The following is a 13,928-nucleotide window of genomic DNA, read 5'->3' as shown; positions in this document are numbered from 1 at the left end:
AACATGGTGAAACCCCGTCTCTACTAAAAATACAAAAATTAGCTGGGCGTGGTGGCACACGCCTGTAGTCCCAGCTACTTGGGAGGCTGAGGCAGGAGAATCGCTTGAACCCGGGAGGTGGAGGTTACAGTGAGCCGAAAGTGCGCCACCACACTCCAGCCTGGGCGACAGAAGCAAAACTCCATCTCAAAAAAAAAAAAAAAGTGGGTGCCTCAGTAAAGGTGGTTTAAAACCAGAAAAAAGAGCTGGGCGCGGTGGCTCACGCCTGTAATCCCAGCACTTTGGGAGGCCGAGGTGGGTGGATCACAAGGTCAAGAGATTGAGACCATCCTGGACAACATGGTAAAACCCTGTCTCTACTAAAAATACAAAAAAATTAGCTGGGCTTGGTGGTGCGCGCTTGTAGTCCCAGCTACTCGGGAGGCTGAGGCAGGAGTAATCACTTGAACTTGGGTGGCAGAGGCTGCAGTGAGCCGAGATCGCGCCACTGTACGCCCACCTAGGGACACAGTGAGACTCTGTCTCAAAAAAAAAAAAAAAAAAACCCAGAAAAAAAAAAATCATTTGCCTGAGAAGCTAAGAACAAGCCCAGTGACCCTGCTCAGGTAGGAGGTGGGGCTTGATTCCAGACCAGATTGAAGACTGGCTGATGCGTTCACCAGCTCCCCCTTCCCTGGCCATAACCCGGAAGTTACCACCCCTTTTCTAGAGATTTCTGAATGCCCCACCCCTTAACGTGCATGTAGTTGAGTGGATGTAAATGTGACCACGGCCATGCCCTGAGCTGCTGCCCTCCATGCACCACCCCAGGGCGGCCCTGCTCTGTGCCACACATCACGGAGCCAACACGGAGCTGACACAGTTGCCGCCTTGTCATGGAGCCAACACGGCCTCATCCCGGAGCCCACACGGCCTCATCCCGGAGCGGACACGGCCTCATCCCGGAGCAGACACAGCCACCGTCTCAGTAAAGCTACTTTCTCTACCACCTGCTTACCCCTAAATTCCTTCCTGGGCGAAGTCAGAAGGCTCCTGTCCAGAGCCCCGCGTTTGGGTTCCTCTGCGCGTTTGGGTTCCTCTGCCCGCATCACGGCCACGCCACCAGGCTGACCAGCTAAAGCCACGCAGGGCTACACATCAGGAGAAAGGACACCCCCAAGTCCCAAGGCCTAGAGCCCCTTTTACCCGCTCCCGCTCCTGCTCCTGCTGGGGATCCCGCTCCCGCTCCTGCTCCTGCTCCTGCTGGGGATCCTGGCCCGACTTGGACTTCTTTGGCTTGGAGGGGCCTCCAGGGCTGGAGAGGGACTTCGGCAACTTAGCTGAAGATGATGTCAGAGGCCTCGTGGGCCCAGGAGGGCCCCCCAGTCTCTGTCCCCCACCCGAGAAAGGAACAAAGGGGGCAGCTGCGGGTGCCCTTGTGCTCTGCTTCTCCTGAGTGTGCTCGCAGCAGGGCCCTGAGGTGTCCGCGTCCTCCGGACGGCTCAAGTCGCCGCGGCTGAGCTCCCCAGATTCCAAGGGAAGTGGAGCGCTGGCGGCTGCCTGGCCAGCCGACGCTGACGAGCCCAGGCTTCCTGGGGTCTTGCCCACGGGGTCGTAGCACTTCATGACAAACCTGAGTGGGGCCAGAGGACAAGGGAAGCACCTTGTGGTGCCTACCCCCGGCTCACCCTCTCCCGGCCCAGGCTCACCCTCTCCCGCCCCCGGCTCACCCTCTCCCGCCCCCGGTTCACCCTCTCCTGCCCCATGCGCCCTCCCAAGATCCACCGCCCCTCTGGGGGACACAGAGATGAGGTCGGGGCAGCCCAGCCCCCACGCCCACAGGCAGGCAGAGGCCACCAGGCGCTCTCCATGATGAGGGCCTGGGTACACCTACTCCCCACTTGCCACGTGTCCTTTCTCCTTTCCTTTGAGACCACTTTTTTTTTTAGCTAAATAGACTCCTCGGCCCCAGCAGCACTGCCCTTACCTGATGGTGGCGCTGCCCCCGGTCAGGCCCAGCGACTGCAGCGTCGTGCCCCGCAGGGCAGCTTCACCCGTCACCTGCAGGAGGAGCAGCCAGGACAGGTGCGCCTTGCACCGGGACCCCAGAGCCCAGGGAAGCCCTCCGGGCACCGGCACCACCAGGACCACAGGCCACGTGCCCTCTCTGGCCTCCATCCTACCCACCCCCCACATCTGGCCCCTGCCGGTCCACACCCTCCACAAGGCCCAGCTTGAGTCTGGTCTGCAGCCGGGGCAGGACCTGCTGCCCATGCCTGACCGTGTCTCCCCCAGCCTGGTCTCCGCAGCTGGGACCCAAGCTCACTGAGGCCTGGGCTGGCAGAGCTGGGCTGCAAGGAGGAAGCCCTGGTGCCAGGACCCACTGCCCGGAGCGAGAGAGGCAGGAACGTGCTGTCACCCACGGGGGTGGCCATTCCTGGTGCTCAGCTCGGGGTGGGCAGGGATCGGGCCTGGCTGGCCACGTCCCATACGCTAACTCTGACCTGTGAGGAAGGGGTGGAGAAGCTGCCTCTAGCGAGGGCACAGTCAATGGCCCAGCACAAAAGCCAAAGGGTGTAAGGGTCCCTGAGGGCCACAGCCTCAGGACAGTGCTGGGCCTGGGTCCTGAGCCCCGTGGCTCATCCCCTCAAGGGAGGACGTAGACCTGAACCTCCCCGTCACAGCCCCAGCCAGGGAGCTTCCAAATGGGGATAAATGCGGGGAATGTCCTGGCCCCCCAGGGCCCCTCCGGGCCAGTGCCCCCCCACCCCAGCAAAGGGCACTCAGCCAGCGTGGAAACAAAAGGCCCCTGTGAGGCCAGGGACGAGCGCTAGGAGGGTCCCGCCACGGCGGGCTTTGCTTGCGCCACGCCACACTCGGTTTTGAAAATGATCAAAACACCGAGCAAAGCAAATATTTATTAAATGAAACCACTTTTGTGACTCTTGGGCTTTGAGAGAAGCTGAAAAAACAAACAGGGCGCCGAGGGAGGTTTCGGGGCAGCCCGGGCTCCGAGGGCCGGCCACTCCCTCTTTTTCCATGAAACACGTCGTGCTTTCAAGAGCCCGAGTCTCCCGCCACTGCCCTGGAGACGGCTGCGGGACAGCAGATTTTCCAGTTGGAAAGTGGGCTGAAAGTGAGCGGGGACTGGGTGAGCAAGAGCAGGCCGCCTACCTCATCCCTCGTGTACACGCAGACTGGGGTGGCCCCGCCGGGGTGCTGCAGGCACTCCCTGGGAGGAGAGGAAAGAAACCATCAGGTACCCCAGGGCAGCTCAACCAGTGCCACGGAGGCCCTGGGGCAGGAGACTCGGAAAGCAAAGGTGTGGGGCCCTCACCCAGCACCCACCCAGGACAGCGTCCCAGGCCCAGGCCCAGGCCACAGACCTCAGCCCCACTGCGCCCCACAACCACCAAAAGGAGGCACCTGACAGCCGGGGGCGCTCCCAAGGACCCTGGCCTGTGGTGCGTGGCCTGGGGGCTCCCCCCGAGACCTCCAGTCTCGGGGCCGCTGGCAGGACGTGGAGCTGCCGGCAGGGCCCAGGGACCGCACAGGAGGGGCGAGCAGCACTGGCTCCGGAATGCGGCTCACGGACACCTGTACTCAGGAGCCTGAGAGTCAGGGTACCGACGTCTGGGCTTTCATCTTAAGCCGCCCACTAAGAGGAGGTGCCCCTGTCTCCACCGCCTGATGTCCTCCTTCAAAGCCGACGCCTGATGTCACCGAAGCATGGAGGGAGGGGCGCTGCACTCCGCTCACGCCCGCTTGCCTGTGGCCGGGGAGGCCGTGCTTATAAGTCCATGTCGGACTCTGCCACCAGTGTCTTTCTGAGCCTCGCCCCGCAGGAGGCACAGCTGGACCCGTGCATGGGTGGGCAGGTATATGCAGCACGCCTCCCACACATGCCTGATGTGCATGGCAGCCCGGGAGACGGGCACATGCCGTCACATCCAGCCCCAGAGCATGTGAACTGCTGGTGGCACCTGCTGCATGAGGCGGGCTTGCCTCTGCGTTTCCAACTCCCCACCGTGAAATCCTCCCCACTGAGAAAAACAAAAGCCCTTCTCAGGCCTTCCTTGCAGATGCCCCTCATCAGTCCCTCTCCAGGGAGGGGAATCCGAGAGGAGGGGGCAGATGGCCAGAGCCTAGGCAAAGGGGAGGCCAGGGCCGGCCTCAGGTCATGCAGGTGCCCTGCCAGGCCCTATGGCCAGTGTGCCTTGCAAGGGCTCAGGTGGGACAGGAAGACACAGGCTGAGCTGGTGACCAGAACACAGGGGATAAAGATTAGGTAACAGCTGGGCTGGAAACTGCTTGCAGCAACCCTCCGGGATGGGGGGTACTGGGAGGGTCAGAGGGCAGGGTGCTGCAGTGTCCAGGTCGAGACATACGTGCACATCCATGCACAGAGCGGGATGCTGGGACAGGAACTCTCGGCCTCCGCCTGAACCCACCTGTGTGCTTACAGGGCCGCAGGGGTCCACTGTGCACTCACCGTGCCCCGACCCTGGGATCTGCTGACCTACTTGAAAGAGCAGGACTCAGCCGGGCGCGGTGGCTCACGCCTGTAATCCCAGCACTTTGGGAGGCCGAGATGGGCGGATCACGAGGTCAGGAGATCGAGACCATCCTGGCTAACACAATGAAACCCCGTCTCTACTAAAAATACAAAAAATTAGCCAGGCGTGGTGGCGGGCGCCTGTGGTCCCAGCTACTCGGGAGGCTGAGGCAGGAGAATGGCGTGAACCCAGGAGGTGGAGCTTGCAGTGAGCCGAGATCGCGCCACTGCACTCCAGCCTGGGCGACAGAGCGAGACTCCGTCTCAAACACAAACAAAACAAAACAAAACAAAAAAAAGGGCAGGACTTGCCTCCCTGAAATGAGAACAGACCAAGCAGAAAAGCCCAAGGTGCCACACCCAGGACAGGCCCAGCCCCGACACCTGGGGACTCGGCCACGTGTGTGGGTTTGACGTGTTTTCTTTTGTTTCGTGGCCTTTATTTTTCACGTCCTCAATCCTGGGGGAGGGGCATCCCTTTCCCACCCAGGCCCCGACTCTGACAGCCTGGTCTGGCTGCAGAGGCCCCACAGGGTCGTGGACTTAGCCCCATGGTCTCCCTGGGTCCACTGCCTACAGGGGAGCCCCTTCCCCAAGGGCCTCTAGCCTGTGGAGCACGTGCGCACCACACACACGGCGGGTGTCCTCTGCGCACAGGCTGGGACACACTCCCTAAGCTCCCGTCCCACAGAGCAGCCAACAAAGGGCCTTGGATTTGCCTTCCCTCCAAATGGCTGGAGACTCGGCCCAGAGGCCCCGAGACGCAGGGCTCAGGAAAACACAAGGCCTCAAAATGCGCCGGAGCAGAACCCGGACAGAGGCAGAGAGAGGCCTCAAGGAAGCACAGCCCCCAGGGCCAGGAAGGGGGACAGGGAGGGCCCAGGGTCCCCGCTCCCCAGCATGACACAGATGGCCAGGGGTCCGGAGATGGTCATGAGGCCACTTCTCTACGGCTGGGGAGGCCTGGGCTGAGGGGTGGCCAGAGTCCCAACTCACAGTCCTTCCCCGGCACTGACCGCCAGCTTGGGGACCTCAAATCACAAACAGGGACAGAGCACAGCAGCGTGACATCAAACGCCAGCCCGGCTTTGATGTGCGGCTCCTCCAGAGGGATCAGATTCCCTCCCTCATGCGGGATCTCAGGGAGGGGTGGTGGGCAATCGGTTCCAGACCTTCTACGCCGGCCCAGTGTGCAGGACGCCAGGGCCCGGGGGAAATTCCAGCGCCCGAGGAGACACAGCCCCTACTCCCCCTCCCCCACGCAGACCTCTGCAAGTCCCAATGTCCGCAGGGGCAAGACCCAGGGCCTCCCGGGGACCCCAGGCCAGGCCAAGCCACCAGACACCATGCTCCGAAGCCAGAAATGCAAGAAGTGCTTTGGGGCGCTTCCGCGGGTGCCTGCTCGCAGCAGGGTACTGGCACACTCTCACACACTCTCCAGCCAGCAGAGCTCCCCACCCGGCCAGGGCCAGAAGCCAGCGGGACGGCCAGGAGGGCAGACACGCCTCTGCTGCTGGCTTCGAGGGCATATTCTTTATGCACCACAAACCCCGCCCCGCTGGGGCCCCGCTCCGGCAAGGCGCGGCTGTGTGCTGGGGACAAGGCAGTGAGTCTAGAGCTCTCTGTGTTCATGTCCTGTCTGGGTATGACAAAGCCGGGCGCAAACACAGGTGCTGACGAGAGCCCAGGCAGCAGCATGCGCCCTGCCGGGAACAGAAGCTGTGGCTGCAGGCCAGGAGCCACTGGGCTCAGGGAGGCCCGCAGAGGGCATCACCCACCACATGACAGCCCAGCCGCCAAGCGGCTAGACAGAGCCTGGGAGAGCCTGGGGCAGGCTCCGGCCTTCTCAACCCAGCCAGGTCCAGACAGGGATGGACAAGGATGGACAGGGATGGACAGGAATGGACAAGGACGGACAGGGATGAACAGGGACGGGCAGGGATGGACAGGGACGGGCCGCAGAGCTCTGAGCTGGCCCAGCAGCATGCACAGACCCACCCTGAGTGTGGCCACAGGCCAGTGCTCCACCTGGCAGAGCCCTGTCCTCACCAGCAGCCCATCCCTACACCCCAGCACACCCAGAGGGCTGCAGAAATCACCCAGCTTTCCCGGAGCCACGGCTTTACCTACAGAAGGAGGAACAGGCTGAGATGCACTCAGCCAGCCCCCAAGCACTGAGTCAAGGCTGGGAGCAGAGGGCTGGGGGCCTGGGAAGAGATCCAGCCAGGGGCCGGGCACACTGGGGGCCACTCCCACCTGGGGTGCCCACGCCAGCACAGCCCGGGGGCACCTCTGAGAGAGGACAAATCCCCTCCATGGCTGAGCTCATGAATCTGATTTACAGAAAGCCCACCCTGCTCCCTCACGGTCTTCAGATGGAAAGCGGCTCAGCTGCTGTGTGAGTTCCCACGGCTCACCCTTGGCATCGTTCCACGGCAGGTCTCGGTCACCCACAACAGTCCCCGGTTCTCTTCCTGCTCCCAGCAGCTCAGCATGGTCCATCCACACCCCTGCCTTTCACCACTTGGCAACTAGGTCCTTACGGGACGTGGGATTCAAACTACGGGACTCGCCCGCCTGCCCTCGTGGACTGCCCAGACGTGCTACAGTATCCCCCGAGTCACAGTATGACCTCCTGGGGCTAGTGCCTGCTGGCTCTAAACCCATGGAGAGAAACTCCTCATAGGAAACCCGTTAGCATAACAATCTGTACCCCAGCAAAGATGCTGGTCAGAAAGGTACTCCCTTTCCTCCTCCGGGTGCCTCCAGGAGGGCCGTGTACCCCCAGGGCCCGTAGGCCATGAAATCCTCATTTCCATCTCATGCGTCTCCTATCACGGAAGGCACACTCCCCGTAATAAAGATCTCAAACTAGACACAGGCCCACCAGGCAGGCAGAGAGCAGTGTCCCCCAGAGCTCGGCGTGGAAGATCCCAAACTCAGACACAGGCCCACCAGGCAGGCAGAGAGCAGTGTCCCCCAGAGCTCGGCGTGGAAGATCCCAAACTCAGACACAGGCCCACCAGGCAGGCGGAGAGCAGTGTCCCCCAGAGCTCGGCGTGGCTGTTCACACCCCTCTGTGCTGGGCAGAACCTTCAGACTATAGGGAAAATGGGAAAGCTCGAAGCCAGCAGTGTGCAGCCTCTGTCTCCTGACGCCCTCCCTGCAGCAGAGCCTGAGAAGCAGAGTGGAGAGCGCCCAGTCCACGAGGACCCGGCCCAGACCGAGATGCTCCAAGTGCACCATACATGCAGGTCTCAAGGACTCTGCACAACAAGAGCATGAGACGGCTCACTTTTCTACTGACTACGTGTCCAGGAAGTCGTATTTTGGGTATACTGAGTTAACTACACGTATTACTAAAATTAATGACACCTGTTTTTATTTCTTCTTTAATGCGGTTACAAGAAAAAGTGAGTGATTGGCCAGGTGTGGTGGCTCACGCCTGTAATCTCAGCACTTTGGGAGGCCGAGGCGGGCTGATCACCTGACCAGCCTGGCCAACATGGTGAAACCCTGTCTCTACTAAAAAAAATACAAAAATTAGCCAGGCGTGATGGCGTGCGCCAGTAATCCCAGCTACTCAGGTGGCTGAGGCAGGAGAATTGCTTGAACCCGGGAGGCGGAGGTTGCAGTGAGCCAAGATCGCACCACTGCACTCCAGCCTGGGTGAAAGAAAAGAAAATGTGAGTCACCTCCATGGCCGACGTGTGGCTCGCTGGTATCCCTGAGGCCCCTGCTGCTTGAGACGCTGGTCGGGCCAGGGCTGCGTGCTACAGTGACACCCTCGCAGTGGAGCTGCAACGTTTCAAACACGTGGCAGTGTCCATCCAAGGAAATCACCCAGGGGTCCCCAAATACACAAAGCAGGCTCTGTCCCAGGGCAACTCCTGGGCACGCTACAGGCCTGCAGCCCCCAGCCTCAGAACGCCCCTTCGAAGCACAGCGCCTACACTGTCCCTGGACTCAGACCTCCTCCGAAACACATGAAAGAAGAAACATCAGCTTCCCGCCCGTCCCACTCTGCGGACACCTGGACTTCCCAAGGCCTCCCCAAGCCTCCTGGGCCAGTGCAGGGACACTAGGCACGAGAGCCTCCCTCCCTCATGCAGACCTGCTGGGGACCAGCTCCCAGCAGAGAGCCCACCAGGCACTCCACCCTCACCGTGGGGCTGGCAACGCCACCCACTATGAAACCTCGTCCATATCCTGCTCCATGGTTAGCAAACTCCAGCTTCTGGGACAAAGCTTGGGTCTGAGCTTTTAGAAATTTATTTAATATTTATTTCTGAGACAGAGTCTTGCTCTGTCGCCCAGGCTGGAATGCAGTGGTGTGATGTCGGCTCACTGCAACCTCCACCTCCTGAGTTCAAGTGATTCTCCTGCCTCAGCCTCCCAAGTAGCTGGGATTACAGGCCCTCACCACCACACCCAGCTGCTTTTTGTATTTTTAGTAGAGACGGGGTTTCACCATGTTGGCCAGGCTGGTCTCAAACTCCTGACCTCAGGTGATCCATCTGCCTCAGCCTCCCAAAGTGCTGGGATTACAGGTGAGAGCCGCCATGCCCGGCCTGGAAATGAAATGTGAAGAAGCCCTATCTTAAATTCCACCTCTGGAATTTAGCCCACAGGAGAAGCTGGGGTGGGTGACCAGGTGCAAAGGCCTCCAGCTGCACACTCTGCTGCAACCCTGCCCGGGATGCCCTGAGACACAGCCAGATGCCCCGCAACACCCACATGACACCCACACGACGGAAGAGCATGGCTGTGAGGAGTGACAGGTGCGGGACCCTTCAGGAAGATGTCCACAGCATATTCACCAGCAACAACAGTCAGCCACAAATCACTCTCCACCACAGGTGTGAGTGTTCATCAAATGAGGTGTACGTGCAGACACACCCGCAGACAGACCCACACTGCCACACAGACCAGGGCCGCAGGCTGGGGGCTCCGGGCTTTACCACCAACGGCCCCACCACCTCCTGCTGTCCCTGGTGTCTCGAAAGAGCTGCCCCACTTGCTCTTGTTTTTTTTTTTTTTTTTGAGACGGAGTCCTGCTTTGTCACCCAGGCTGGAGTGCAGTGGCGCAATCTCAGCTCACTACAACCTCCGCCTCCCGGGTTCAAGTGATTCTCCTGCCTCCTGAGTAGCTGGGACTACAAGCATGAGCCATTGCGCCCAGCTAATTTTTGTATTTTTAGTAGAGATGGGTTTTCACCATGTTGGCCAGGCTGGTCTCGAACTCCTGACCTCAGGTGATCCACCCACCTCGGCCTCCCAAAGGGTTGGAATTACAGGCGTGAGCCATCACGCCCAGCCACTTCTGTTGTTTCTTTTTTTTTTTTTTTTGAGACAGAGTCTCGCTCTGTTGCCCAGGCTGAGTGCAATCTTGGCTCACTGCAACCTCCACCTCCTGGGTTCAAGCAATTCTTCTGCCTCAGCCTCCTGAGTAGCTGGGACTACAGGAACCCACCACCACGCCCGGCTAATTTTTGTATTTTTAGTAGAGATGGAGTTTCACCATATTGGCCAGGCTGGTCTCGAACTCCTGACCTCGTGATCCACCCGCCTCAGCCTCCCAAAGTGCTGCGATTACAGGTGTGAGCCACCGTGCCCAGCCTTGTTGTTTCTTTTGTTTTTTTGTTTTTTTGAGATGGAGTTTTGCTCTTGTCACCCAGGCTAGAGTGCAATGGTGCGATCTCGGCTCACTGCAACCTCCTCCAAAGCGCCCAAACCCACCCCCACAGCCACCACCAAAGCCAGCTCCAAAGCCACTTCCAGAACCACCACGCCTGGCCAAGCCTGTTGTTTCTTAAACTAAGTTTCACACGAGGTTTACAAAGTCTGTTGAAGAGGCTTATGCTACCACAATGCCGGCCCCACCTCTCCAGACACCCTCGGCCCCTCCCCAGTGGCAGCCCCAGGCCACTCTGGGCCATTTCCTTACCTCCATCCCCATCTGAGGACTGACAGCACAGCCAGGGAGGACGGCCCTCACCAAGCACCTGTGCCTGTGGGAGCACTGGATTCTGTTCACGCCCGGGGGCACCGCCCGGCCCAGGGGCATTTCCTTCCAGACGTTCATCTTTCCTGACTTCTGTTCCCCGCGCTGTTTGGTTTTCTTCTTGCCCTCTGCCACTCTCGTCTCAGGAAGCAGCACAGAGCCAGGGCGCCGGGATCCCTGCTTCTCACCCAGTGCCCACACAGCGCCTGGGGCTGCCTGCCTCCCTGCCCGGCGCCACTCCTGGCTCGGGTCCCGCTCACCCCTGCCCGTGGCTTCGCTTTGCTCTCAGGCTCCGTCATCTCCTGCCTCGGGTCCCGCTCACCCCTGCCCGTGGCTTCGCTTTGCTCTTAGGCTCTGTCACCTCCTGCCTCGGGTCCCGCTCACCCCTGCCCGTGGCTTCGCTTTGCTCTTAGGCTCCGTCATCTCCTGCCTCGGGTCCCGCTCACCCCTGCCCGTGGCTTTGGCTTTGCTCTTAGGCTCCGTCACTGTTGTCTGAGTTCCGTTTTGGGAGGGAGAATTCCGTGCTCGTGCTTAACCCGCTGCCATCTCCAGGGGCCTCCATTCACCCCGACAGCCACTGGGGTGGCTTCCATCCCCATGACCACTGAGACCCGACGTGCAGACCTCAGCGCTCTCACCCACGAACGCAACACCCGTGCCATGCAGCGCGGCACTACTGTCAGACGGGAGCAGGCCCAGCCCTGGGGCCACCAAGCGCGCCCAACGCACAGTCACCTTCCCAGCGCCCGACGCGCGGTCACCTTCCCACAGGCCCTATGCTCGGTCCTCAAGACATGAACTCACCCCATCCACACACCAGCCGGGGCACAGGTGAGGAAACTGAGGCCCGGGGAGGGCGAGAACCCCCTGGCTCACAGCAAACCCCAGCCCCAAGTCCCTTCCATTCTGCTGAGCCTTTTACTGTGGACAGAGACTTCCAGCCAACGATGAAAAGACCCAAATTGACAAAGCACCAATTTTTACACATTCAGGAACAACGTTTAAACCATTAACCGACAGAAACTGATACACATCAATTACTTATTTTTATTTATTTATTTTTTTGAGACAGAGTCTCGTTCTGTTGCCCAGGCTGGAGTGCAGCAGTGCGATCTCGGCTCACTGCAACTGCCTCCACGGCTCAAGTGATCCTCCCACCTCAGCCTCTGGCATAGCTGGGACCACAGGCACGCACCACCATGCACTATGCCTGGCCTAACATTTCTATTTTTTGTAGAGAAGGGGTTTCACTATGTTGCCGAGGCTAGTCTTGAACTCATGAGCTCAAGCGATTCGCCAGCCTCGGCCTTCCAAAGTGCAAGCCACTTTGCCCAGCCACTGTGCCCAGCCACTGTGCCCAGCCATCCAATTACTATTAGGAAGATTTTCTGGTGGGGCACAGGAGCTCACACCTGTAATCTCAACGCTTTGGGAGGCTGAGATGGGAGAATTTCTTGAGCCCATGGGTTCAAGAGCAGCCTAGGTGACCAACATAGTGAGACCCTGCCTCTTAAAAAAAAGAGACCTTATGATCCCATCCAGGGGAATCAAGCATGGGGAGCCCTGCCCCCAGCACCGAACGTCTCCCCTTAGTGCTCACCAGGCCCCCACAAGGACAGAAGCACATTCCTGCTCTTCTAGGTGGGCAAGGCTGGGCCGCTGGGCCCAGGAAACTCAGAACGATGAGCTGTGACCAGCCATCCCCGAGGCTGCTGCTCATGAACCGGCAGCCCACACACCCCTCCTCTACAAAGGACTGCAAAGTGCCAAGAGGCACCACAGGCCAGCACAGAGCTTGGGTGTCCAGCTCTGAACCAGACCCAGTAACCACAGCAGCTTCCCCAGCAAACAGGGTAGGGAAGAGCCCCCAGCCCACTGATGCTCACCTGATCTGTGGAAAATGGCTGAGAAGCTCCCAGAGGGTCTGGCCTGAACAGAAAGAGTCCTGCAACCTCGAGCCATCGTCCAGCTGCAAAGCGATGCGAACCTGGAGGGTATAAGACATGAGAAACTTCCTTAGGAAGAAAAGCAACTATTCCTTCTAAATCCCAGACTGATTCTCCAGACACAGAGAGGGTGACTGCCCCGCCCTGGCCTCCAGGGAGAGGCTGACCCCCACGGAGAAGGCTACCCTCCTATTCACTCTGGAGTGAGGGCCTTGGAGGCTCCCCGGCAGGGCTGCACCAGCATGCGTGTGTGCATGTGAGTGTGCAGGTATGTGCAGGTGTGCGTGCGTGTGTGCATATGTGTGTGTGGGTGTGTGCGGGGGTGTGCAGTTGTGTGCAGGTATGTGTGTGGATGTGTGCATGTTGGTGTGTGGGTGTGTGCAGGTGTGCGCATGTGCGTGCAGATGTGCGTGTGTGTGCATGTTTACATGCAGGTGTGTGCGGGTATGTGCGCAGATGTGTAGGTGTGTGTGTACAGGTGTGTGCGTGGGTGTGTGTGGGGGGGAGGTGTGTGCATGTTGGTGTGGGCGGTGTGTGCAGGTGTGTGGGGGGGTGTGCACGCAGGTGTGTGGGTGTGTGCAGGTGTGTGGGGTGTGTGCGGGTGTGTGCGGGTGTGGGGGTGTGTGCACGTTGCTGTAGGGGTGTGTGTGGGTGTGTGTGGGGGGTGTGTGTGCGGGGGTGTGCAGGTGTGTGTGGGGTGTGTGCAGGGGTGTGTGGGGGTGTGTACGGGTGTGCGGGTATGTGGGTGTGTGGGGGTGTGTGTGGGTGTGTGTGGGTACATGCAGGCGCCACAGGAGTGAACTGTGTTGGAGACAGTCCTCGTGTCCCAGTGGGGGCTTCAAAAGATTGCAGCTCCACCGAACCTGACTGCAGCCTCAGGACAGACACTGAGCTAAGCTGCTCCCAGATTCCTGACCCTCAGAAGCCACATGAGATGGTAAATGTTTGCTGCTCTTTTTTTTTTTTTTGAGACAAAGTCTCACTCTGTCGCCCAGGCTGGAGTGCAGTGGCAGCACAATCTCGGCTCACTGCAAGCTCCGCCTCCCGGGTTCACGCCATTCTCCTGCCTCAGCCTGCTGAGTAGCTGGGACTACAGGCATCCGCCACCACCCACGGCTAATTTTTGTATTTTTAGTAGAGACGGGGTTTCATTATGTTGGCCGGCTGGTCCCAAACTCCTGACCTCAGGTGATCTGCCCGCCTCGGCCTCCTAAAGTGCTGGGATTACAGGCTGCCCTTGCGGCATCCATGCAGCGCTTTCGGCTCTAACATTCTGGGCAATTCTATGAGCAGGTGGTCAGGCTGGTGGGTGAATGCTGCTGACACCCTGAGCCAGGGAAGGCACAACTGACCCCAGAAAGAAAGAAAAACTTCCACATGAAGAATGACGTGGGCGGGGCGCAGAGGCTCACGCCTGCAATCCTTTGGGAGGACTTTGGGAGGC

General features: G+C 59.8%; 1 protein-coding gene across 5 annotated transcripts in view, besides 3 other annotated features; it reads right to left on the bottom strand.

Annotated features, from left to right (window-relative positions):
* Window positions 1-13,928, bottom strand: part of ASPSCR1 (ASPSCR1 tether for SLC2A4, UBX domain containing) — a 39,778-nt gene that overhangs the window by 19,375 nt on the left and 6,475 nt on the right. For 4 of the 5 annotated variants that reach the window (NR_045351.2, NM_001251888.2, NM_024083.4 and 1 more), the window contains 4 exons: window positions 12,425-12,525; window positions 3,154-3,211; window positions 1,967-2,040; window positions 1,186-1,612 (listed from right to left, as the gene is read on the bottom strand). Coding sequence is in view for 3 of the 5 variants with exons in the window: in NM_001251888.2 (NP_001238817.1) it covers window positions 1,186-1,612; window positions 1,967-2,040; window positions 3,154-3,211; window positions 12,425-12,525 (660 nt within the window). In the remaining 2 variants the exon portion in view is untranslated. Of the gene's footprint in view, window positions 1-997; window positions 1,613-1,966; window positions 2,041-3,153; window positions 3,212-12,424; window positions 12,526-13,928 lie in introns of all 5 variants that reach the window. The other variant, XR_001752618.3, reaches the window with a different exon arrangement.
* Window positions 3,302-4,009: an enhancer, noted in NCBI's record as "H3K4me1 hESC enhancer chr17:79951899-79952606 (GRCh37/hg19 assembly coordinates)". NCBI's record gives its function as "activates a minimal SCP1, AML or CMV promoter by ChIP-STARR-seq in naive H9 embryonic stem cells {active_cell/tissue: H9 hESC(naive)}" and the evidence as "EXISTENCE:reporter gene assay evidence [ECO:0000049][PMID:30033119]".
* Window positions 6,138-6,845: an enhancer, noted in NCBI's record as "H3K27ac-H3K4me1 hESC enhancer chr17:79949063-79949770 (GRCh37/hg19 assembly coordinates)". NCBI's record gives its function as "activates a minimal SCP1, AML or CMV promoter by ChIP-STARR-seq in primed H9 embryonic stem cells {active_cell/tissue: H9 hESC(primed)}" and the evidence as "EXISTENCE:reporter gene assay evidence [ECO:0000049][PMID:30033119]".
* Window positions 7,556-8,265: an enhancer, noted in NCBI's record as "H3K4me1 hESC enhancer chr17:79947643-79948352 (GRCh37/hg19 assembly coordinates)". NCBI's record gives its function as "activates a minimal SCP1, AML or CMV promoter by ChIP-STARR-seq in primed H9 embryonic stem cells {active_cell/tissue: H9 hESC(primed)}" and the evidence as "EXISTENCE:reporter gene assay evidence [ECO:0000049][PMID:30033119]".

Source organism: Homo sapiens, chromosome 17 (genome assembly GCF_000001405.40).
Source record: "Homo sapiens chromosome 17, GRCh38.p14 Primary Assembly".
Classification (NCBI taxonomy): Eukaryota; Metazoa; Chordata; class Mammalia; order Primates; family Hominidae; genus Homo; species Homo sapiens.
This window is presented reverse-complemented; position numbering and strand designations above follow the sequence as displayed.